Source organism: Homo sapiens, chromosome 14 (assembly GCF_000001405.40).
Source record: "Homo sapiens chromosome 14, GRCh38.p14 Primary Assembly".
Taxonomy (NCBI): Eukaryota; Metazoa; Chordata; class Mammalia; order Primates; family Hominidae; genus Homo; species Homo sapiens.
This window is the reverse complement of record NC_000014.9, coordinates 37797523-37822358: the sequence shown is the minus strand read 5'-3', so window position 1 is coordinate 37822358 and position 24836 is coordinate 37797523. Positions and strand designations below refer to the sequence as shown.

The window sequence follows — 24836 nt, the reverse complement described above, 5'->3', positions numbered from 1 at the left end:
TGATTCCCAAACTACCCCTTCCTTCATGAAAGTTGCCCCAGGTTCCACCTACACTATCATTTACTAAATATTTTCTTTTAAGTCAACTTACTTTTTTTACTTAACTATATTTATTTTTAAAAGCAAATTAATTTAAATACCATAAGTTGAAAAATTATCTCATGCCATAAATAAAATAATAAGCTAAAATGATAAGCTTGGAGCTGGATACTTTATTCTGCAGAACACAGCCTGAGTGCTGCACCATTGATTACAAACAAAGTTTTTAAAGACTAGCTCTGGCCGGGCACGGTGGCTCACGCCTGTAATCACAGCACTTTGGGAGGCTGAGGTGGGTGGATCACGAGGTCAGGAGTTCCAGACCAGCCTGGCCAACATGGTGACACCCCGTCTCTACTGAAAATACAAAAATTAGCAAAGCGTGGTGGCAGGCCCCTGTAGTCCCAGCTACTCGGGAGGCTAAGACAGGAGAATCGCTTGAAACTGGAAGGCGGAGGTTGCAGTGAGCTGAGATCATGCCACTGCACTCCAGCCTGGGCAACAAAAGCGAAACTCCATCTCAAAAAAAAAAAAAAAAAAAAAAAAAGACTAGCTCTTAGCTGAGACATTCTCCTTGATGTGTTCAGAAGGTTTGAGAAAGAATTCATTTTGAAACTGAAAGGCAATTCAGTTTCTCACAATGTGATACGGTATTTTTTTAATGCTTGTCCAGGCCATGAAAAATAACAGGTACATGCAATACTTGCTCCATGTTTTCCCAAATGTGGTGCAACAGGTGTTCTTCTAGAAGATCACACAACAATCCACAGTGAAGCATTAAGAAGGCTTGCTTCTGATGTTACAAGCAAGCAAAGGTTAACATCCACATATGGGAATCAGATGCTGCCTTTTGAGTTACTCAGACAACACAAGGTCACTTTCCTCAAGTAGTATACAATGAAATTGTGCTCTCTTTCCTGATAATTGGCACTATTTAAGAAGTAAAAGTCAGGCCGGGCACAGTAGCTCATGTCTGTCATCCCAGCACTTTGGGAGGCCAGGACAGGTGGATCACCTGAGGTCAGGAGTTCAAGACCAGCTTGCCCAACATGGTGAAACCCCTTCTCTACTAAAAGTACAAAAAACTAGCCAGGCATGGTAGTATGCACCTGTAGTCCCAGCTACTTAGGAGGCTGAGTCATGAGAATTGCTTGAACCCAGGAGGCAAAGGTTGCAGTGAGCCAAGATCATGCCATTGTACTCCAGCCTGGGCAACAGAGTAAGACTCCATCTCAAAAAAAAAAGAAAGGAAAAAAGAAAGAAGAAGGAAGAAGAAGAAGAAGAAGAAGAAGAAGAGGAAGAAGAAGAAGAAGAGCAAGAGGAAGAGGAACAGGATGAAGAGGAAGAAGAGGAGGAGGAGGAGAAGGAGGAGGAGAAGAAGGAGGAGGAGAAGAAGGAGGAGAAGGAGGAGGAGAAGGAGGAGAAGGAGGAGAAGGAGGAGGAGAAGGAGGAAGAAGAAGAAGACCACTTTGCCTTTCCAAGTGCCTTCTCACTATAGTATAACAATAATTCCTTATCAGGAATCATAGTCATTCTGTGTAAAATGCATTTAGTTGACAGGTTTTGTTGTGTTTAGTATTTCTATCTGTGGGTAGTGAAGCATTTACTTATGATGCATACCTATGGTGACCAGGTCAATGGACATTTCCAGGGAAATCCCCTTCTCTTATATTCTCCACCAAATTCATTGAAATGCCCCTAGTAATATTGACATCCAAATTGCATCATACACCCTGGCCCCTCTTACCCAGTGAAATTAAAAATCCTTTGTGAGTACATATTCTAATATATGGTTTATGAAATACAATCTTGCCTTCTGTATAGCCTAACCAATTAGAAAAATGAGGCAGCGAACTGAAGCTCACCACGTCATATAAGTTGTGAATTACCAAATGGCAGTGATTGAAGCTATTTTTCTGTACCCATCAAGTTATCAGCACTAATGTTTAATGAGCAGCTAGTCTGTTCAGACCCAGTAAATGTTCACTAAATCTTAAAGCTGAAAAGAGATCTTGAAAGACAGCTAGCAAGCTCCTCAAAGCCGATAGTGACTAAAATCAAGTCCAGGGAGGTGAAAGTGCTGAAAATCAGAGGCTTCCCAGCCTCCTGCACCAATAGACCAGGAAGAAAAAAAATGAGCAGATGCCACTGTAGAAACAGTAATTTCATCTCTGAATATATGTCTGTCACAGTGTCCTACAGGTTGAAGTCCTTGTTAAGTAACTGCATGACAGTTAGCCAATGGGAAAATGTGGCAGAATATCTACGTTCTTGTCAGGTTACACGTTCAATGAGATATAAATTGTTAAGCATCAGTTACCACAAGTGTAAAAGTATGTTAAATGAGTTTTTCTAAAATAAAATGTGTTCGCATAAATCTAGAGCAATATGATAACTTACTGGAGGTGCATGATTCTACTTACGACGTTCTGTGAACAAGGGATCATGTGCTGAGCTTGTCCACTAGGCCACAGACACAAAGGCCCACTGCATTTTCCAAATTAATCACATACGTGACCAGATGTGCCCTACTGAGTTGTACAAATAAATCACAAATCCCCTCCCAAACTAAAGAATCTGGCTTGAAGAGTTAAAGACTCAAAAATATTTTATGCCCCAATATGTAAGAATAGTAAAATAAATGTGCTGAAGTAAAAAGTAGATAGGATATATAACTCTGAGTAATCTCCCTCTATGATATTATTTTTTGAAATATGAAAGTGGCATTCTCAGTTCTAAAAATTAATTCTACCATAACACTCGTGGTGACTAAATTGGGCAACAAGTAGGATATTCAAGCCTAAGGAATGTTGTCTCCTAGCAACCACAAGAGTGAGAACCAGAGATATACAAAGGATACTTCAAAAGTCTGCAACCCCACGAGATCAAAGATCAAAGCCTTAAAATTTAAAAATTTATTTATTTAAAGAATTTTTCCTAATGAGAAAATGTTTACTTTCCCTACTGTAAGACACATCAGGAATGAATCCCCATAGTTACAGTCCATGCATCTGTGGTATAAGGTTGTTATAGCTCACCTAGAAAAGCAAAAAATATTTTTCCTGAAATAAATATAACCAATCACTAAACACTCCATATTGTGAAATTCAGCAAAACTTAGAACTCGAAACACGTGGAACTGGGACTCTGAGTTTTCAGAGGTTTACAGCTGATTTAAATTCTACTTTTATTAAAGAACAATAGAGATTCTAGTTGGGTTATGAAAATTGGTTATTTGGAATTGCAAAGCAGTATCAGCTTAAGGAGGCTCTCCTGTATATACCCAGTGATTACATTTCATAAAAGAGATTGTGAACTGACATACAGAGAAATTTACTGGCTCTAATGGTTGCTAAACATAGGAGTGAGGTAGAGAGTAGTTTTGGAGCCTGTTTTTAGTTTTAACAGAATGCAACAAGCTCGGACACTTTTGGTCTTCACCCACCCACCAAAACAAATACATCAGTCATCGTTATTCCATCTCTTAAGAATGACAATTACTTAAAGAGATAGATTGTACAAAGGTTGCTGGATTAAAATAGACAATGGTAAGACCGGGTTTTGCTGTCTGTACAAAATGAAAGGTCTGAGACCAGTTTAAGCCTTTTAACACAAAGACACCTTCAGAAGTTCCAGTTATGGTATTACTCTGCTCATAAAATTAAAAAAAAAACTTTCATAGGAGAATGTAGCTGTACTATATATGTCCTCAAAGAGAAAAGGATGTCAATTTCCTAAATAATTCAAACTATGTTTCACTCTCTAAACTGGGTATTTATACAGCCCAGTCTACATAATTTGGAACTATTCTAACTTAATCCTCCAAATTAACTGGTATTATTTGTTTCTTAGGGGAAAAAAAGCTATAAACTATTATTTAACCAAATACATTTCATCACAAATTAAAATCCTCGCAGGCTGAATCTCAATAATTTTAAAAGCAAAATTACCAAAAGTTAATTTTATGATGTAAAATATATATGTAGAAACATAAACATTATGGCTAACAAAGTCTATATACTATAATATTATTTCAGAGTATATTTTAAGCTGATTATCTTCTATATTTTAACCTTATGTAAGTGTTTTCATCTCTTCTTCTATAACTTATTTTTATAATAAACCCAGGAAGAAGTGATTTTGCTTTACGTATTGTGTTTTTTATAGATATTTCCTGGTGTTTTTTACTTAGTATTATATTTAGTTACGTTTTTAAATGCAAAATTATCTTAAAAATGCATAATTTTTAAAAATCACCCTTTCTTCCAGGAAAGAGACTTTATAATAGTCCCACTTTATGAACAAAATAAATTATTTTATGCTTAGATATTTCGAGCTATGCATAATTTTATTCTACATATTGCCACGATCCTTTCCCAGCACCTATGCTTGGATCAGGTGAACTCTGCCCAATGCCATGATGGAAGCATTTGCCTGCTAATTTGTGTAAAACAGTCTATTAGAAGGCAGAAGGGTGCTGAGGAACACTAAGTGTGGTCCCCGTGTCTACACAGGGAACTCTTTGTGTCCCTCCCCATTTTTGTACTCTATAACATTCACAATTTCTCCCAGTTTCTTCCATTCTCTCCTGGCTTGTTTATGGGGTGATAATTAGATAAGTCTGATGGTCCTGCTTGATTCCACTTTGACATCAATTGCACTCCATACCTGTGATGGCACATGGCAGTGGCGTGACAAAGGCTCCCGTTAGTCCGGCTTATCAGTGCAGCTTGTTTAAAATCCTGAAATAATGTTATAAGCTTTTGTTAATTTTGCAACATTATTTTATGTGCTATCTTAAACTTCCTTCTAACTGTGATTCCACAATGACACAAGCATTAAGATATACATCTTCCTAAATACATGTGACACAAGCATTAAAATACACATCTTTCTAAAACTTTATATTTTCCTTGTAGTATCACATCAAATAAGAACAGATGAAACAAAGGAAACCTATTATTGTAGACTCACTCAGAATCTTGTACTACTGGTCTCTACTCAAGAATGGGGATTTTTTCCTATGGTTTTGACCTGCAATGGGTAATGAGGTATCTATCTCATTTACTTTCTTTCTATTGTTTATTCCCAGTGAACTCCTCTGGAGACTTCTCTATCTAGACAGAAAAGGAAATGTACCGGGAGAGAACCTTTGATGTTATGTGACTATAGGACAAGCAGGCATCCAGGTTGGGGAAAGGGTCTGTGTGGATGAGCTGGGGCTGCTCCTGCCTTTGGAATCCACACTTCTGGTGAGAAATTGTCTCTTGTCAAGGATCCATAAGCTCTCCTGCAAGGGAGAAATGGAAACTCTAATCCCCAGATCTGAAGTTAGGGAAGTCAGCTGGGAAGGATCCCAGTGGCCCCTAGGAAGAGGCTGTTTCAAAGCACTGGAAGGGCTAAGTCCACAAGAGATCCTGCCACCGTAGCCCAGAGCTCTTTCCTTTATCAGGCCCCAGGGACAGTGTCTGAAGCTCATGGCTTTTCAAAGTCCTACAGAAATATTTGAGGCCTAAAGTAAAATAAGAACATCGCTACATTTAAATTAAGAAAATATTTAAATATATAACGGCAAAACAAAATATTATATCATGTCAACTGCATGATATTTACATACATTTTATATATGAGATGTAGATTGATTTTACTGATTGCTATAATATAGGAAGGGCTTCTGAAAGAGTCCTGAATCTATGAAGGAATGAAAATAGCACTGCTTTTTCCCCAGAAGACTGCTTCAGCAGGAATCTTCCTGGAAAGTATTTGTTGTGATGTCACTTGATCAAGCAGAGCAGTGGGGAATATTACACTCTTCTGTGGAGTGGCAAAAGGAAATCCCTCCAGGCTTCCTTCCTGGAAGCCAGACAGCAGAAATCTGCAGCCCCAAAGGACACTACCCAGCCAGAAAAGAGCTAATCAAAGCCCACACTCTCTCTCTCCCTCCCACTCCTCCTCCCTTCCACAAACCCTCCCTGGCTATGTCAGAGGGAAGAGGCTGTCTTTGAAGGGTAGGATAAATTTTCTGCTGTTATTGGGGGTGGAAGAGGGAGTATTAAGGTTAATCTGAGCACTCAGAGATCCTGCTGGAGGACGCAGTATTAGTCACAGACCAATCTGTAGATGTGGACACCCCACATTGATTCAAGAAGCATATATGACACCAAATGGAACTATTTGGAAGAAAATTTTTTTAATTATTGTCTGATCAAATATAATCTAATAAAATGCTTCCAGACATCTCTCTAGGAGGATTTTTTTTTTTTTTTTGCTAAAATTAAGGCAAACTTACAAGTGTAAGTGAGCTTTATTACAAACATTCCCATTAATTTTGGAAGTTTCAAGGATGACCATGTAACTTAAAAGGCTAAAATAAATTTAGTTTTGTAATCAGATGAAACTTTCAAAAGTGAACTTGACTCTCTATATATAATCATTATTATACTACATGGTAATTAGGCAGTAATTATCAACAATAGACATAAAAGATGACTATTAGCATTACTTAGAATAAAGTTAGCCACTGTTATTTAATATTATAATTTTTCTCTTCTGCATTAATTATCTCTCTAATATAAGGATGATAAATAACAAACCACACAGCCACTAATGTGTACCACATAGAATAGAATTTAGCTGTCTCACACTACCACTTCACATGCCTCCCCTTCTCCCATCAGCTCTATATACCAGGGGTTGGGGACCCCTGGTATATGAGATGTAGATCTACATCTCAATCTCAATCTCCATCTCAGTCTTACATCTCAATCACAGCAGGAGGTGAGCCACAGGTAAGCATTACTGCCTGAGCTGTGCCTCCTGTCAGATCAGCAGCAGCACTGGATTCTCATAGGAGTGCAAACCCTATTGTGAACTGTGCATGTGAGGATCTAGGTTATGTGCCCCTTATGAGAATCCAGTGCCCCATGATCGGAGGTGGAACAGTTTCATTCCGAAACCATCACCCCGCCACCCTGACGCCTGAATCCCCTGAAAAAATTATCTTCCATGAAACTGGTCCCTGGTACCAAAAAGGCTGGGGACCACTGCTATACACTTATGATTACTCGTTTGTTTGTTTCAGTCTCTATTTCATTTCCCTTAAGCTCTGATCCTTGGCTACCCATTTATATTTAAGTTTGAGGCATTTAGATCGAGAATGGCAGTTTGAGGTGCCTGAACATCTCTTCTCTACTATCTGTAAACTTGCAGCATTATATCTTTTTTTATTCCTTTACTATTATCTTGGTAGGTTTTCAAGAGGGAAAAGAGGAAAACAAATGTTCTTAACCCATTAACTTCTGGTTAACTTAGCCATTAACTTCACAAACAAGCCCAGTCAAAATGCTTCCTGAACAAAGTGTCCCTATGAAGGGCATACAGCTCTCAACTAACTAATGTTTTCAGCACTCAAGCTAGTCAGCTTCTCTGTTAATCAATCTTTCCCACTAAAACTGTTTTTAAAGATTCTGCTTTCTCTTGGTTTTTCATGCAGACCTCTAATTACTCAGTCTTATATATTTCATTGCTTCTTCCCCTGCCCACATCTTTTTTTAGTTGTTTTAATTTTTTAACTTCACATAGAGAAAAATTGAATTTTTTGCTTTCAATTTGTTTCTGTGGTATATCTTTTCCAGCTTTTTGTTGTTACCTATCTATATCACTATATTTAAAATGTGTTTTTGGTTGCCAAAATATAGTTGGCACTTTTACAAAATTCCAATCGGACATTATCATGATTTTCATTGTTGTATTTTGACTATTTCCATTTAATATAACTACTGGTGTGGCTGGATTTTGGTCTTCTATATTATCATTTCTTTTCTGCTGGTTTCCTCCATTTCTGTTTCTCTGCTTCCCCTTCCTAGACTTATTTGGGATTCTTTTAATATTTTTTTATATTCCATTTTAGTTTATTTTCTACCTTTTTGACTGAGGAGGTCACATTTCAGCAGAAACCTAAATGAAACAAGGGCATGAATCATACACAGATCAGGAGGAAGAGTGCTGTACGCATAGGGACTCGCTTGTGTAAAGGTCCTGGGGCAGCAAGGGAGCCCAGCATTTCCAAGGAATAAGAAAAGGCCAGGGTGGCATGACTAGTGGAGAGAAGAGAATGTTTGACAATGAGATCAGAGGTGAGCAGCAGTCATATCAAGTAAGGTCTTGCTCAGCCACAGTCAAGAGTTCAGATTTTATTCTAAGTGTGATGGGAAGCCATCAGAGGGTTTTGAGCAAAGGAATAACTTGATCTAGTTTATATTTTTAAGAGATTTCTCTAGCATCTGTTTAGAGAATAGCATGTAGAGGGGCAAGAGTGGAACCTTAAGCCAGTTGGAAAGCTACTACAGTAGTCCAGGAGAGAGATGATTCAGTTCTGAAACCTGAGCTCTGCTCTTGCCCCAGTACTTACTGGTTGAAAGGAAGATAGCAGTGGCAATTATGAGAAATGATTTAATTCAAAATATGCTTTAGTGGTAGAGCTGACTGGACTTGCTAATGGGTCAGATGTGGGGTGTGAGGAAAGAGGGGACAAGAATGACTCTCCCTAGACCATCAGCTCCTCAAAGACTGGAACTCTGTCTCATTTATCTCCATATATTAACGCCAGCGCTTTGCCTGAAAGAAGACAGAATTTGGAATCGAGTGAGTTCTGAGTTCAGATCTTACCCCAGTACTTACTGTGGAAAGACCTTATTTAACCTCTTTTGAATACCAGTTTCTTCCTCTGTAAGTTACAATTATAAATTCGGCAGCATTGTTGAGGACCCGGTGTGTAGCAACTGTGCAATAGTTGTTTAGTGGTTGCTTAGTACTAAATAAATCTTTATTCAGAGAATAACATGGGCTTTGCATTTAATTCTCTAACAGCTGCAGTCCCTTGTTCCCCACCTCCACTATCTCACTCTCTCCACCTCAACACTGTTGCCCATCGTTTTCTTGCCTACTACAAACAGGGAGGTTCTTTACTTCCATCTACCTGAGGTTATACCTAGTGATACAGCTCAAAAATATTTTTAATATATCAAAAAGCTTAAAGGTATTCAAACATTGGGATTACATTTATTCATAGTGTAAACTTCCTCAAAGGTAAATGATTATTTGGACAGAATCTCAAAAAAATGACTCCAGAAATAGAAAAATAATCATCTTGGGAGGTGAAAAGAACAGGATGCACTCCACTCCATAATGTTACGTTGCAGTTCCTCAGAAACAAAGAAGCAAAACTGTTATTATTTAACTATATATCTCTAATTGCTATTTAATTTTTACCTTCTGTTTCTTAATCCAAGAGTTACAAAAAGACAATAAAAATAAAAAGTTAAAAATGAGAATGATGAATTTTATTTAATTATTCTTTAATGAAATACATTTTAAACTACCCGTTTCTTTTGAAAACCTTGCCTATACTTTTTTCTAGTATGATTCTAAATGCCTGTCACCACTCACTTTAAAGCCTGTTACCAGTAACCCATTCTGAGTAACTATTTCCTGCCCTGTTTGAAACAGATTTATTTTGCTATATTTGCAAAGGGAAAAGAGGAAAATTTTGAGAAAGTTACCACTAAACAGCAGAGTACACATTACAGGAATCATTTTATTTACTAAGTAACTTGAGTTTTGTCTGTACTCCCTTAAGAGAAGTGATGGTCTTGATCAAATTAGAAATGTTTAAAAATGTATTGGCTGTTTATCTGTAATCCAAACAAAGCAAAAATATACATTTTTTCAAAGAGCCTATTAGTCATTTCAAGTATTTTAATAGAATTCTTGCTAAAGTTGAGCTACCACTCATTAATATTGCCAGTTGATAATAATAAAATCTTGTTCACTAGTTCTCAGAAGTCAATGTGCAAAATCAAGTGGGTTACACAACAGGAAGGCTTACCTCTAGTGCAAAGCCATACTGGCCTAGTTCTACGTAGATGAGTCCACGATTAAGGAAGGTATTTAGTTTTACAGTTTCTGTAGCATCAAGAAGCAGCACAATTCCATAATCTGTTAATGCCTAAAAATAATCATTTGTAACATAGATTCAACTTTTTAGAGCCTGAATTCATTGGCTATGGACAAACGTATTTATGTCCAAACTAGGACCCAATGGTTAGTTCTTCAATTTGTTTTATAATTTATGGCCAAAATAATCATATGTTAGATTTAAAGGGTACCCTTAGGTAAAATGTATGATGGACCTTGATACTTTCCAATAAGCAGTGCACACTGTGCTTGCATTTCATGTTTTACCTACAAGTCACCCTATACATTTTCACTGGTGTACGGGCTGGAAGGGAGGGACTTAGCATTCTGCCTCTACTGGGTAGTTTCATCAAATGACTGTTGCTGTGATTACCATTAAAAATGTAATTTCTTTTTAGTGTTGTATTGTTTTCCTAAGCTCTGTGAGGCCAGAGCTTATCCATTTTGTTCACTGTTTTAAGCCCAGTAACAAGAATCAAGCCTGCACATAGCATGCATTCAATAAATTTGTATCCAATGAAAAAATCATGAATCAATGAAAATAGATCTTAAAACTAACAAATAAGCACTTGTAGGAAAGCTATCTCAAAATATTTTGATAAATATATTCATTTTTTAAAAGACACATAGTGTAATCTGAGAATCAACTCAGACCCTTCTCCATTACTTTTACCTTTTTGGTTTTTTTTACATTCACTGACTAAACAAGATTTTACTGGTTTCTACTCTGTACCAGGTACTAGAAGCATCCTAAACTTGGGTTGGAGCTGAATCTCTTAAATCATTTTCCTACTGAACATTCTGTCCAAAAGAGCCATATGGTCTGATCAGAAAAGGGCTAAATCTTATTATGCCTGTAGCATCTGCCAACTGAAAATGACAAAGAGCATTTTATATTTGCTCATTTGCCCTCCTCTGGTGTTTCCTAATGTTGCGTGCTCAAGTGTCTTTAAAAAATGTGCAGTTAAAGATCCTATAGGTATGTTGTGGCATAATTAAAAATAAAAATTGCCAGGACTATAAAAAAAATCAGTAGTATTTGTCAAAAAAGAAAAAACCAAACCTAGAATATTAGCCACAAATTGTCTAACATTTTTCTTTTACTAAGTCACATTATGTGAAACCAGTATGATGCCTTCGAGATCCACTAAGCAGCTGAATCTGCAATACAGGAGGAAATAAAAACTGGGAAATAAGATTTCGTAAAGGTCAACGAGGGTAAGGGGTAGGGATGGGAGCACACAGGTTTTGATTAAGAGGAGGGGTCAGGGCCTTGGCCTCTCCTGGATTTGTGCCATGCCTCTGTTATCATTACTAGCCCCTTGATTTGGAGAAAATCACTTAACACTAAGCCTTAGCTTCCTCATCTGCAAAATTGGGGTGTTAAAAATTCATCATATTGTTGTAAGGATCTGCTTAAAAATATTTTGATTGTATGTCAGTGAAGCATTTAGCTCAGTTCCTGTCACACAATAAGCCCTAAATAAGTGGTAACTGTTCAGTATTTTTATTAATATAAAGTGTTAGAACCAGAATTGATCTTCCCTTAGTTTTTATGAAACTATATCTTGGGAGAATGCCTAAGTGCATTTTCTGCAGAAAGTTACTTGGTTTTTCTCAGGCTAGGGATGGCAGGAATGCTGAGAAACAGGTGGAGGGAGATAGCAAGGGAGGAGGACACACTGCTTAATGACATCCAGTCCACATGCTGGAGGTCAGACAGTTTTACAAAGCCACCTAAACACTGTTAACCCAGAAGCAAACAAATGTGTGGACACCAGTACAGGTCACTAACTCTCTCTGTGTGACTTGGATGGGTTTTCAAACCTCTCCCTACTTCCATTTCCTCATCTGTAAAGTGAGCAGATTGGATGAAATGCTTCAGAGTCCTGGCAGCTCTGAAATCACCAATATTTTATTATCGTAATTCAGTTTTACTTGATTTAGGTAGTTTTGCATTTTCTTAATTAACAGGGCACTGGCTCTTTCGCATATCTGAGATAACAATACAATGGGTGTTCCCTCCTCGCCCAGCCCATTGTTTTCCTATTCAGGGTTACCTTTCCGGCAGGAATGGGGTTGGGGAGGGAATCCTCAAAGGCCCCTGTTGTGTAGGTCACTCTAATAAATGATCTTTCAATCAGCTCCTAGCATCTTAACAATCCCCTTGTTAAAAATTAGCTATTCATTTATCAACATTTCTGGAGGAAACCTGATAATCTGGTTACCAGGAATTTTACATCCTCTCAGGTAGAGACAATGTTTCTCAACTTCCCTTCTAAAGCTTGTACATTTCTAAATTACTAAATGTTTTAAACAGATTTCACTGTCCACGTTTCACAGAATGGAGAGTGTGTGAACACAGAACAGCGGGAATGTGACCTAGCCTTTTAAAAGAATGCGTCATTTACTATGGACATGGGCAGGAATAAGGAGAGTGAGACAAGTAACAGAGAAAGAGGATGGGACACTACACTGAAAGACCGCAAGACTAGCTGCTCCCCAGTGAGGAATCCTCATTGAAAAGGGACCAAACCGACAGGAGAGAAGAGAGTAGGTAAGATTACAAAATATAAACAAGAGTTTGCACAGGTAGATGCTGGATCAAGACAAATGGAAAAAAAGGTTTGCTGCAGCCCACAGGCCTTCAAAATATAGGCCAAACCTGGTCACTGGTCCCTGGAGCTGAAAACCATCACTCCATCCTCCCTGCTACATGTGTGGTCTGAGGACCAAACAAAAGAATGCCTACACAAACTGCTCTAGCTAATATTAAAATTTTGAAACCACAATATTGCTAGTGATTGCTACTGCTTTAAAAATTCTGCACTTTGGGAGGCCGAGGCAGGCGGATCACGAGGTCAGGAGATTGAGACCATTCTGGCTAACATGGTGAAACCCTGTCTCTACTAAAAATACAAAAAATTAGCAGGGCATGATTGGGGGTGCCTGTAGTCCCAGCTACTTAGGAGGCTGAGGCGGGAGAATGGCGTGAACCCGGGAGGCGGAGGTTGCAGTGAGCCAAGATCACGCCACTGCGCTCCAGCCTGGGCAACAGAGTGAGTCTCCGTCTCAAAAAAAAAAAAAAAAAAAAAAATTCTGCATATGGTAGAAACATTTATTCAATTGATAATTATGTAATGTATTTAATTTATAAATGCCTTTAAATACTTCTATAAGCATTATCAACTTAATTTTTCATTTGACTTCTTTCAGAAATTATATAAGAAAATTTGGTGAGCACCAACAAAGAAATTAAATATTCTTTGAAATGGTTCTTTGGTTTCTTAAGTTTTATATGTGTGTATTTCCTAGGAATTCCTTTTGAAAATTGTAGCAGAAGTAATAAGAAAATACTTTATAAATGCCTTAAATGAGTTTACAAATGCTTTAACATATTGTTTATTAAATATTTATTGATTGAAATCCACAAGCTATTAAATGCATGTTATTTATTAAACACTTTAAACACATTGTTTACTAAAATGGTCATCTTACCATTTGAAGTTCCCTTATCTTGGTGTAACATAATGCTCTGTTATAAAATGCTGTATAACTATTTTTGTCCATGCTGATAGCTGTAGTTAAATCTGTAATTGCTAGCTTATAAGTCTAAAAAGAAAAAAGTAATTATGTGAGAAAGGAAAATCATAATGGACTGAAATTTAATCATAAAATAAATTCTTGTTTCTATCAGAGTTTTTGAAACACTCATTTAACCATTCTTTGTATCATCTGTGAAATTAAGACATTGAAGCTAATCTTTCACAGAGTTAATTAAGAAAATCTCCTGGTAGAAATTATCATTATAGTTTCTCTTACCTGCAAACAAAATTAAATATATCAACAACTTTAATTTAGGCAAATATCTTATTACCAATGTTGGTATATGGCAAGGAGAAAATCATACTTCTAGGTAAAATAAAATAAAGCCACCCATATTAATGCAGCAAACATTCACCAGTGCTTGCTTGCTTCTGTCACTCTGACTACCATATCACATAATCGTCATGTTTTCTACCCACGTTCTCTTTTGCTTCCTCTTTGATTCTTCTCTGATACCTTATATCACCCATTTCTGTAGATAGTAATTTTCATAGAATTAACACATAATGCAAGGTCTTACCTTTGCTTTAAGGTATTATTTGCAAAATATTTCATATAAAATAGCTACAAAGAAAGATCAGAAAAGAAAAGTAGAGAGAAATAAAGTATTCAGTGCAGTATCACATATCAATGGTGCCAGTCACACCTTTTAACCCAGTAACTTCTGTTTAAGAACCAATCATAAACCCAAGCAGCAATTTTGTTCTCAGTTGTATATAACTATATTAAATAGTATAATAGTAAAAATTTTAAAAACAATCAAAAAGTTCAACAATAAAGTAATTTAAAATAAATTGTCATGGAATATTATGCAGTCAGCAAAATATTATCTTCAAAGATTAAGTGTAAAAAGCAGGGCACCACACAAGTTATATAAATACCATAGTCCAAATTTTGGAAAATATATATCATATATTATGAGGAAAATAAAAGACTGAATACAAATATGCTAAATGCACCCAGGAATTATCATTGATGGTGAGATAATAATCCTTTATTCCCTTCCATATTTTTCCAAACTGTCTACAATGAATATATGCTACATTCTTAATAAAAATAAATAATAAATGTTATTTAAAATGTAAATGTCAAAAATAAATACCATTATTTTGTGAAAAAAATATGAATTGGGAAAGTGTAAAGTTTTCTATGTAGTTCTGCCCTTCATATCATAGTGATTCCCAACCACATAGAAAAAAAGTAAGTGAGTCCCCTGCCTAGCATAAGAGAATCTGCCCACCCTAAAATTTCGGTAAACCAGGCAGGAAATGGCCCTACCTTGTTGTAGTATTTCAGAACTCCTCTGTAGAGATAGGCACGTACGCTTTCAGGGTAAATTTTAATAGCCTTGTTACAATTCAAGATTGCTTTGGAATACCTGCCTTTTAAACCATAGAATGCTACTCGGCTTAAATATGCCTATTCAGAGAGAGAGAGAGAAAGCAGGAATGGATGCTTTAGTAAAAGCACCAATTCTACCAAAATATATGCTACTTGGAACAAATCTATGCCTCCCAAAAAGGGTATTAAAATATAGTCTTTTTAAAATTTTTCTTTTATTAGAAAAAAATTTCAAAGGACACAGAATAATTGAAAGAATGATAAATACCTATCACCTGGAGTTAATAATTATTAACATTTTGCCATATTTATCTATTTTTTTCTGCACTATTGGAAAACAAGTTGTAGATATGGTAATACTTTACCCCAAGTCCTCCAGTATGCATCTCCTGTGAAAAAAAGACATTCTCGTACATAACCACACTGCCATTATATATCCAAGATAACTTATAGAAATTTCCTAAAATAATTTAACACTTAGACCAGATTCAAATTTCACAGATTCCTAAAATCAAGATGCAATCAAGCTTCACCTACTGAATTTTGTGTTGCCTGTATAGTCTATTAAAAGGCAGGAATCTATGTAACATCAAAACAAAAAGTAAGTAAAATTAATGAGTATATAAACTTTAAATTATTAATAGCCACATTAATATTTACATATATCACATTCACAGATACGTTTATATATATCAGAATATCACTGATGGAAATAATACTTTTAGTTTAAGAAGAAATACAGCTATTTGGATTATGAAAATAAAGTTAAGTGAAAAGTAGGTATAAGAAACTGATTGTTGGTAATTAATAACAATGGCACATAAAAGATTTAATAGTTTTACCAAACTTAACACTTTCCAACTCACTAAAAACATCTGTTTAAATACCTGGTAATGTTTTGGATTGAGGGTAATTGCACGATTAAAATCCAGAATCGAGCTATCCTTGTGGAGTTTCACTTTACAAAGCCCTCGCTGATAAAAGCTTTCTGCAAAATCTGGATTTGCTTTCACAGCTTTTGTAAAAGAATCAAAAGCCTACAGGAGCATATTGTCAAAATGCAAACCATTTAGTGATATAATATATTGTTTTAAAATGTTAACGAATTACAGTATATAATTATTGTTGAAAAGTTTCACTCTATTTTTGGATTATTTTAAATACATTTCTCCTAATGGACCTCATGGAACAAACAAAACTAATATTTAGAAACAAGTAGGGTTGATTATTATAATTAAAGGCAGACTAGGTCTACATAATCCATATTGTTAGATTACAATATTTCAGGTGGTATAATTTTAATTATTCTTCAGATTTCATTGCTTCAAAGAAATCACAACCAGCACATTTATTTTTCATTAGGATCCAGCAAATGCATCATTATAAAACTTCAGAACAGGCCAGGCATGGTGGCTCATTCCTGTAATCCCAGCACTTTGAGAGACCAAGGCGGGCGGATCATGAGGTGAAAAGATGAAGACCATCCTGGCCAACATGGTGAAACTCCATCTCTACTAAAAACTACAAAAATTAGCCAGGTGCGGTGGCGTGAGCCTGTAATCCCAGCTACTCGGGAGGCTGAGGCAGGAGAATCGCTTGAAACTGGGAGGCAGAGGTTGCAGTGAGCCGAGATCGCGCCACTGCACTCCACCCTGGCGACAGAGCGAAACTCCATCTCAAAAAACAAACAAACAAACAAACAAAAAAACACTTCAGAACAATAGAACTCTAAAATTTTTCCCCGCATTTTAAAGCAAAGCTGAGTTTGCTCTGGTTGTTCAAAAGGACTAAAAACATGTAAAATATTTGTAATTTGTCTCATATTTACTGGCATTTCTTAATAGAACAACTAATCAAGTGCACCTCTTTTTTCATTTATACCAATACCAGTTTAAAACAATGTCCACCCCACGAACGTAAGAATTAGAATGATGTGTGTGTGTTTGTGTGTGTGTGTGTGTGTGTGTGTGTGTGTGTGTGTCTTGAGATAGAGTTGTAGAATATCCAACATTAGCCATTGGATAGTATCAATTATTTTACATATTTGTCATATCAGTGACAAGTCTGAAGTAAAGAATTGCCTAAAATCACCAAAGACTGGATAAATATGTAATAATTGAATCAACTGTTTTTCAGTAAATCTGGCCATCTTAACAACCAGTTTCAATCTGATTTGAATTGTTCAATGATCAATAACAAAAGCCAGAAAGCCCTAATCTTTTCCATTTATTCTACATTATGTTAAAGCACTTAAAATACTTAAAATTTAATAAGTGAACTCATACTACTGTGATAAAATTATTTTACTGTAATAATTTCCTGCAGTTAGATTTATTGTTCTGGTGGGAAACGCATATTAATCTTTAGAATATTGTTGACAAACAAGCATCAAATAAAACATGTTGATTAAATAAAACAATGTCCTAGGTGTTGCAGGGTGCAGAATGACTATAACAAGCCAAGCTTCATAAGCAGCTTTGGACCGGTTGCCCACTGTATAGGTGGCCTTCAGAAACAGAATTGCATACAAGCAACCAGTCTCTAAAATCACAAATAATCTATACTCCTAAATACACGAAATACCATTTGTAAATTGCCTTCCTCCATGTAACAAAGACCCAAGTTATACAGACAGTCTGCTGAAATTGCTGTGGCATCTGGTCCTTTATCAGAATGAGAAATGGCATCCAAAGCCTTCTTAAGCACTTCCACAGCTTCCTATAATGATAAAAAAGCAGGGAGGGGGCAAGAAATGTTTCTTTCCACTATTGATTTAACGTTACAGCCTTATATGTTAAAAGGAGCACAGAGCACACACCTCTACTCTTACTTTATCTGGGGACAAACAGACCTGGTGAAGTTACAGGTCTTGTCAGTACACTACAAGAAGAGAACCCAGTTCAGAAGTCTTACCCTCATGAGTCCCACCCAGGTGCCTATCCTACAAGCCAGTACTTAAGCAGGCTTATGGACATGGATTTTTGGAACTAAAATTTCTGAATTCTAAAGGCTATATACACAAGCTTAAGTCAGGCTTAAATTTATGAACAAGTTTATTGACAATTTCCTAATAATTTCTCTGAATGGAATACTGGGAAGCTACTAGGTAGTAAAAGATCTCCACTGATAATATCTGACATAATTTTAATCCATTTTTTATTGTGTCCTGCTGTCCTCCTAATAGGGTTTTATTGGCACCAAAAAAATAAACTACCTCCAAAACTCAACCATTTATTTATTCAAAAGAGTCAAAAGTCTCATTAATGAAAATGTTCAAACTCTCATTAATGAAAAAGTTCAAAATAGTCAAAAGTTTCATGAATGAAAAAGTCTCATTAAATGAAAAAGTCAAATGTCTCATTAATGAAAAAGATAGAAATGCCATTTAATACTTAACTACCCACTGTATATCTGTATATAGAAAGACAAATACTTGTTACTGGTTATACCATCTTCTTAATTGTCTTAAATTGCTAAAGAAAAAATGAAGTTTCACTTGGATATGCTAAGTGTTCTATTGAGCATTAGCTGTATATGTTTGCAAGCCACCCAACATCCCTCCTTCTGTCCTCACTCTCAGCACATGACCTTGCCTAGAAAAAGTGGATTACTGTCTCAATTTCCCCCCTTTCTACTTTTCGATGAATCTATATCTTCATTCACTTTCACCTTTTTCTCTCCTGTCTTTGAATTGCTTTCTTTCTCATTCCTTGCAGAGCTAACTCCTCAAAAGCTGTCCTTGACCCCATCTTCTCCTGCCTCACCTGAGCAGCCTGTTACTTCCTTCCTCCTTTGGATTTCTGCCCCTTTACTGACTCCTTGAGCCCATTAAAACTTGTCTACTCAAGCCTTCCAACCCATTTAAATTAAAATGAACATGTCTTCACTTCCTCCTGCTTCCTCCATCTCTCTCTCTTTCACTACTCCACGGTGTCATCTGAGGGACATCTGCAGGGGCTTACAGATAAGTCATCTTTATAGTCTGCAGAAAGTACTGTGGCTGCTGTGTGGATAAAAGCTTGGAAGAGTACAACAATGCAGCTATATAATTCAAAAAAATTTTTTTAACTATATGCTCCAAACCAGGATAATAACCACAGAAATAAAGAAAGTGGATTTGAGAAGTATCTAGAAAGCAGAACCAAGAAAACATCACTATTGATTGGGTGGAAGAGGGTAGCTGATGGTGACATCAGGTATCCAGCTAGAGTCACAGAGGACAGGCTGGGAGGAGGAGATTAAAGCAAATATAAAAAAGCAGTCCTCAAATAATACAGAGACCAAAATCTCCAAATGTGAAGAAAAAAGTAGACATGATCCATACTGAGTAATGATCACAGAATCTGCAATAAGAAAGTCAATGAAGGCTGGGCACAGTGGCTTACACCTGTAATTCCAGCACTTTGGGAGGCAGAAGCAAGTGGATCACCTAAGGTCAGGAGTTCAAGACCAGCCTGGCCAACATGGTGAAACCCCATCTCTACTAAAAACACAAAAATTAGCTGGGCATAGTGGTATGTGCCTATAATCCCAGCTAGTCAGGAGGCTGAGGCAGGAGAATTGCTTGAACCCAGGAGGCAGAGGTTGCAGTGAGCTGAGATTGCGCCACTGCACTCCAGCTGGGTGACTGAGCAAGACTCCATCTCAAAAAAAAAAAAAAGAGAAAAAAGAAAGTCAATGAAGCTAGCAAGAGTGCTTGATTCCAAACCAGAGGTGCATTCGTTTTTCTATCGCTACAGGTCAAATTACCACACATTTAGCAAATGATAGTAACATGCATTTATCATCTCACACTTTCCACAGGTCCGGAGATTGGGCATGGCTTAACTGGGCCCTCTGCTCCGGGTCCTACAAAGCTGCTATCAATGTGTCGGTTGAGCTACATTCTCCTCTGGAAACTTGGCTGGGAGAATTAGCTTCCAAGCTCATTCATGTTGTCAGCAGCCTTCATTTCCTTGAGACTCCAGGACTGACAGCCCCAGTTTCATTTTTTTTTTATTTTATTTTAAGTACCAGGGTACATATGCAGGATATACAGGTTTGTTACAAAGGTAAACACGTGCCATGGTGGTTTGCTGCACCTACCAACCCACCACCTAAGTATTAAGCCCAGCACGCATTAGCTGTTTTTCCTAATGCTCTGTCTCCCCGCACCCTTTTTCCTACAGGCCCCAGTGTGTGTTGTTCCCCTCCTTGTGTCCATGTGTTCTCATTGTTCAGCTCCCATTTATAACATGCAGGGCTTGGTTTTCTGTTTCTGCATTAGTTTGCTGAGGATAATGGCTTCCAGCTCCATCCACGTCCCTGCAAAGGACATGATCTCATTACTTTTTATGCTGCATAATATTCCATCGTGTGTATGTACCACATTTTCTTTATCCGCTCTATCATTGATGGGCATTTGAGTTGATTCCGTATCTTTGCTATTGTGAATAGTGCTGCAATGAACATACACATGCATGTATCTTTGTAACAGAATGATTTATATTCCTTTGGAATATATACTCAGTAATGAGATTGCTGGGTCAAATGGCATTTCTGCCTCTAGGTCTTTGAGGAATCGCCAAACCGTCTTACACAATGGTTGAAATGTATAAAAGCGTTCCTATTTCTCTGCAACCTCACCAGCATCTGTTGTTTCTTTACTTTTTAATAATCACCATTCTGACTGGTGTGATGCAAATAAAAACCACAATGAGATACCAGCTTGCTGGCTGTTGGCTGCACTCAGGTCCCAGCTGCCCACAGTTCCTCACCACATCACTCTCTCCATAAGAAGTCACAACAAGGCCAGCAGGAGAACCTCTCTCTCTTTACTCTGCTAAGAAGGAGGTCTTATATACTGCAACATAATTGAGGGAGCGACACCCCACCAATTTTGCCATATTCTATTGGTTGGAAGCAAGTCACAGGTCCTGCACACACTCAAGGAAGGGGAGGAGATAACATAGGGTATGATTAAGAATAATCTTAGAGTGTGTCTACCAGATGACTCTAATGATCTGGCCCCCAGTAATTCAACATTCTTGCCACACGCAAAATATATTCCTCCATTCCAAGGTCCCCCAAAGTCTCAGCTCATTATTGCATCAGCTCAACATCTAAAATTTCATCATTTAAAGCAGGTCCAAGTCTGGATGAGGCATTTAAGTAAAATCCACCAGCTCCCACTCTTGGGACACAATTCCTCTCCATCTGTGGACTTGTGAAATTAAAGAGACAAGTTATCTGTCCCCAAAACACCCAACATACAATGGGTGACAGGCATAGAATAATATCCACAGATATTCTGGTTTAAAAAGGGGAAAATGGAAGATTAAAATGAGCCACTGGTCCATGGCAGTTCTGAAATACATTTGGGCAAATGCTCAGTCTCTTGATTAGGTTTCAAAACATTTATGGCACTTAGTGTCATCCTGTGGGTTCCTAGTCTTGCCTTCTGGGTCCTTTTTCCTTTTTTATGAAAGGTTGTACGTGTTTGCAGCTGAGTTGTTTTATTAACCTACTTCCTGCCAGAATGATTTTGAGGTCTGACAGCCTTCTTTCGTTTTGTACTCTCTCTGTCTAAGTCCAAATTGTCAGTGTTTATAAATAAATAATTCTCCTAAAAACTTTGGAGATCTTCCATGGATTTCACAGGGATTCACTTCATTAGACAAAAGCCACATCCACTAATTTTTTCAAGAAAATTCCTTGTCTACTTCGGCCTACTGCTGAGATGCCTGAGGGACAATGCCCTTAAGCTTCTGGAGATCCTCTGGTTTGGTTAAGAAGATTTGTAAGTTTTGCCCTTAATCTCTTGAAAGGAAAAAGAACTAGTGTGACTGAATACTCTGCCCTCATGATCCTTCTAAGTTCTTAGCAAAGTGTTGTCCGGCCACACCTTGTCCTTTTCTCTTGACTGAATTTTGTCCTCTTTTGCCATCTGGAGAAGTTGAAAATTTTCCTCATAAGCAAGTCCTGGTTGACTTTGTTTAACAGTTCTTAACTTATCTCTCCTTTCTCACACTTTACTATTAGAAGCAAAAAGAAAGCTGGCAGCACTGTCAACACCTTGCTTGGAAATTATCTTAGCTGTATATCCAGGCTCCTGAATTATTAGTTCTTCTTTCCATACAACTAAATGAGAAAATTTTACTAAGCTTTGAACCACTAAATAAAAATAATAACATGTTGCTCATTTGCCTCAGAGTCCTCAATGCTAGTGTCTTTAAAAACCAGGTATCTACTAAGAGTCTGTTTGAGGTGATTGAAGCTTTTTCTGTCATGTTCCTCAAAATTCTTTCAGCCTCTGCCCACTGCTTTGTTCTAAAGCTGCTCCTACATTTGCAGGTATTTGTTACAGCAACACTGCATCTGTATTATTTTCTTGTTGCTGCAAAAAATAAAAAATGCCACAAACTTAATGCTTTAAAACAACACACATTTCTTATCTCACAGGAGATAGTTTAGAATATTGTTGACGAACAAGCAGAGGTGAGGGGCCAGGAGCCTGCGCATAGCTTAGCTGAGTCCTCTGCTTAGGGTTTCCCAGGCTTCAGTCAAGGTGTCAACTGTGCTACATTCTCATCTGAAAACTTCTTTTCTCTTCTTCTTTTAAGCTCATTCTGATTGTTGGTGGGTTTCGTTTCCTTATGGCTGCATGACTGAGGGCCCAGGCTTCTTACTGGCTATTGGCTGAAGATTGTCCTGAGGTCCTCAAGGCCACAGCAGTTCCCTACCATGATACCCTCTCCACAAGCAGTTCATAGTATAATTCTTTGCTTTTTTAAGGCCAGGAAGGGAATTTCTCTCTCCAGTCTACTACATAACCTAATATAATCATGGGAGTGACATCCCATCATCTTTCCCATACTCTGTTGGTTAGAAGTGAGACATAGGTTCCACTCACACTCAAGGTCACACAAGGGCATAACTTGTTGAGGGTCACCTTATCATGTGTCCATCACAAGAGGAAAGGAGCCAGATTGTGGTGAGCAGCAGAATGAGTGGAAAGTGAGGAAATGAAGATAAGGACTATAAACAATTTTCCAAGATTTGGTTGTGCCAGAGTAAAGAGAAAAAAGCCAATAATTGGTGAGGTCAAGAGAGCAAAAATAAAGTTTTTTTAGTTTTTATACTAAAGGTAGTTTCTCATGATTAAATGCTTATGGAATGAAGCTGATAAAAAGTCTTAAAATGCCCAGGGAGAAAAAATAGGAATAATAACGGCTAATGTTTATTAAATGTGTGCCATGTACTAGATATTAAAGCATTAAATAATCTTTCAAAGAAGACATCCTTACAATCTTTAGACAAACTCATTCACTAAATAGAAAAGAAGAAATACTCTCCAAATAATCCTATGAGATCAATACTCAAATCCCACAAAACCAATCTCACTCATAAATATAGACACAAAGATCCTCACAAGCAACTCAAATTTAGCAATGTCTACAAAAAGATTATATATTCTGATCAAGTTGGTTTAACCCAGGAATGCATGGTTGGTCTAACACTAAATAATGTCATAGATTACTTAATTTCATATGTGACATATAATCTGCTACATTAACATATTAAAGGATAAAAACATAATAATTTCAATACCTGATGAAAAATTATTTGATAAAATTCAAAATGGAAATAGAAAGATTATGTAATCTTTATTTTGTTTAAATTATCTACAAAAATCAATCCCAAACTTCATTCTTAGTAGGGTAAACTTCCTTTAAAATTTGGAAGAAAATAAGGGTGTCTTTGTCACTAGTTTTAGTCAGTATTGTCTTGGAGTTTCTAGCCAGCACAGTTAGACAAGAATAAGAAACAGAATACATAAAAAGAAAGAAAAAAATAAAACTATTATTATTTATAGATGACATATTTTCCTAGTTATAAACCCAAAAGAACAGAACTAAACATTTTAAGAAATAATAAGCAAGTTCAGCAAGGTGGTCAGCCAGTAGATAAGTATTCCAAAATCAGTTTCATTTCTATAAACCATCAGCAAACAAATTTTTTTAAAGATACCCTTTATAATAGTAGCAAAAACTATGAAAAAAAACTGGAAAACTAGGAAACTTTTAGCAATGGATATGTAAAATCTATTCAAAAGAAAAAGTGAAATAAATGGGGCAATACATCATTCTGATCATAAACTAAAGAATTCAATATCATAAAGATGTCAATTCTCCCTAAAACAATCTCAAGATTCAAAATCTCAAGAGAGTTTTTAATGGACCTTGGGCAAGCTAAATTTAACATGTATATGGCAGAGTAAATGCTGAAGATTAACCAGGAGCTTCCTAGAGAAGAATATGGTGTGGGGACTTGCTCCACCAGTTATCAATAATTTCAATGAGGTTATAGCAATTAAGACATTGTACTGCTGGGCCAGTAATAGAAAAATTGACCAAAGGAACAGAACAGAGAATCTAAAATAGCACATGATCCACACATATGTGAAAACTTGTAATAAGATAGATGTAGCACTGCAGATTTTTGGGTTAAGAAGAACATTTCAATAAAGGATACTGAAACATTTAAATACCCATATGGAGAAAACTGAAATTTTATCACTCTCTCATGCTAAAAAAGAATAATCTTAAGATAGAGTAGGGTCTTAAATGGAAAAAGGAAAACTTAAACTTTCCAAAGAAAATAGGGAAGAATATCTTGACCTTGGAGTAGAAAAGGGCTTTTTAAACAAGGTATTTTTTAAGACGCCCTGATGACAAATTTTAAAATAGACATATTCTATTTTAAATAGACATATTACTACATTAAACTTTAGAAGTTTTGTTCATCAGAAGACACCACAGAGACAAAAGACGAGGCACAAACTGTAAGAAGATACTCAGCACACAATCGAGGATTAGTATACAGAATTTATATCT

The 24836-nt window shown here is 36.8% G+C and overlaps 1 protein-coding gene across 13 annotated transcripts in view; it reads right to left on the bottom strand.

Annotated features, from left to right (window-relative positions):
• The window catches only part of TTC6 (tetratricopeptide repeat domain 6), a 247089-nt gene that overhangs the window by 20359 nt on the left and 201894 nt on the right, over positions 1–24836 (bottom strand). For 6 of the 13 annotated variants that reach the window (XM_047431332.1, XM_047431333.1, XM_047431334.1 and 3 more), the window contains 7 exons: positions 17545–17679; positions 15849–15998; positions 15327–15350; positions 14899–15039; positions 13513–13626; positions 9926–10045; positions 4708–4781 (listed from right to left, as the gene is read on the bottom strand). In XM_047431332.1, the coding sequence (XP_047287288.1) occupies positions 4708–4781; positions 9926–10045; positions 13513–13626; positions 14899–15039; positions 15327–15350; positions 15849–15998; positions 17545–17679 (758 nt within the window). Of the gene's footprint in view, positions 1–4707; positions 4782–9925; positions 10046–13512; positions 13627–14898; positions 15040–15326; positions 15351–15848; positions 15999–17544; positions 17680–19938; positions 20266–24836 lie in introns of those variants that run through there. The other 7 variants (XR_007064009.1, NM_001310135.5, XM_047431335.1 and 4 more) reach the window with 5 other exon arrangements.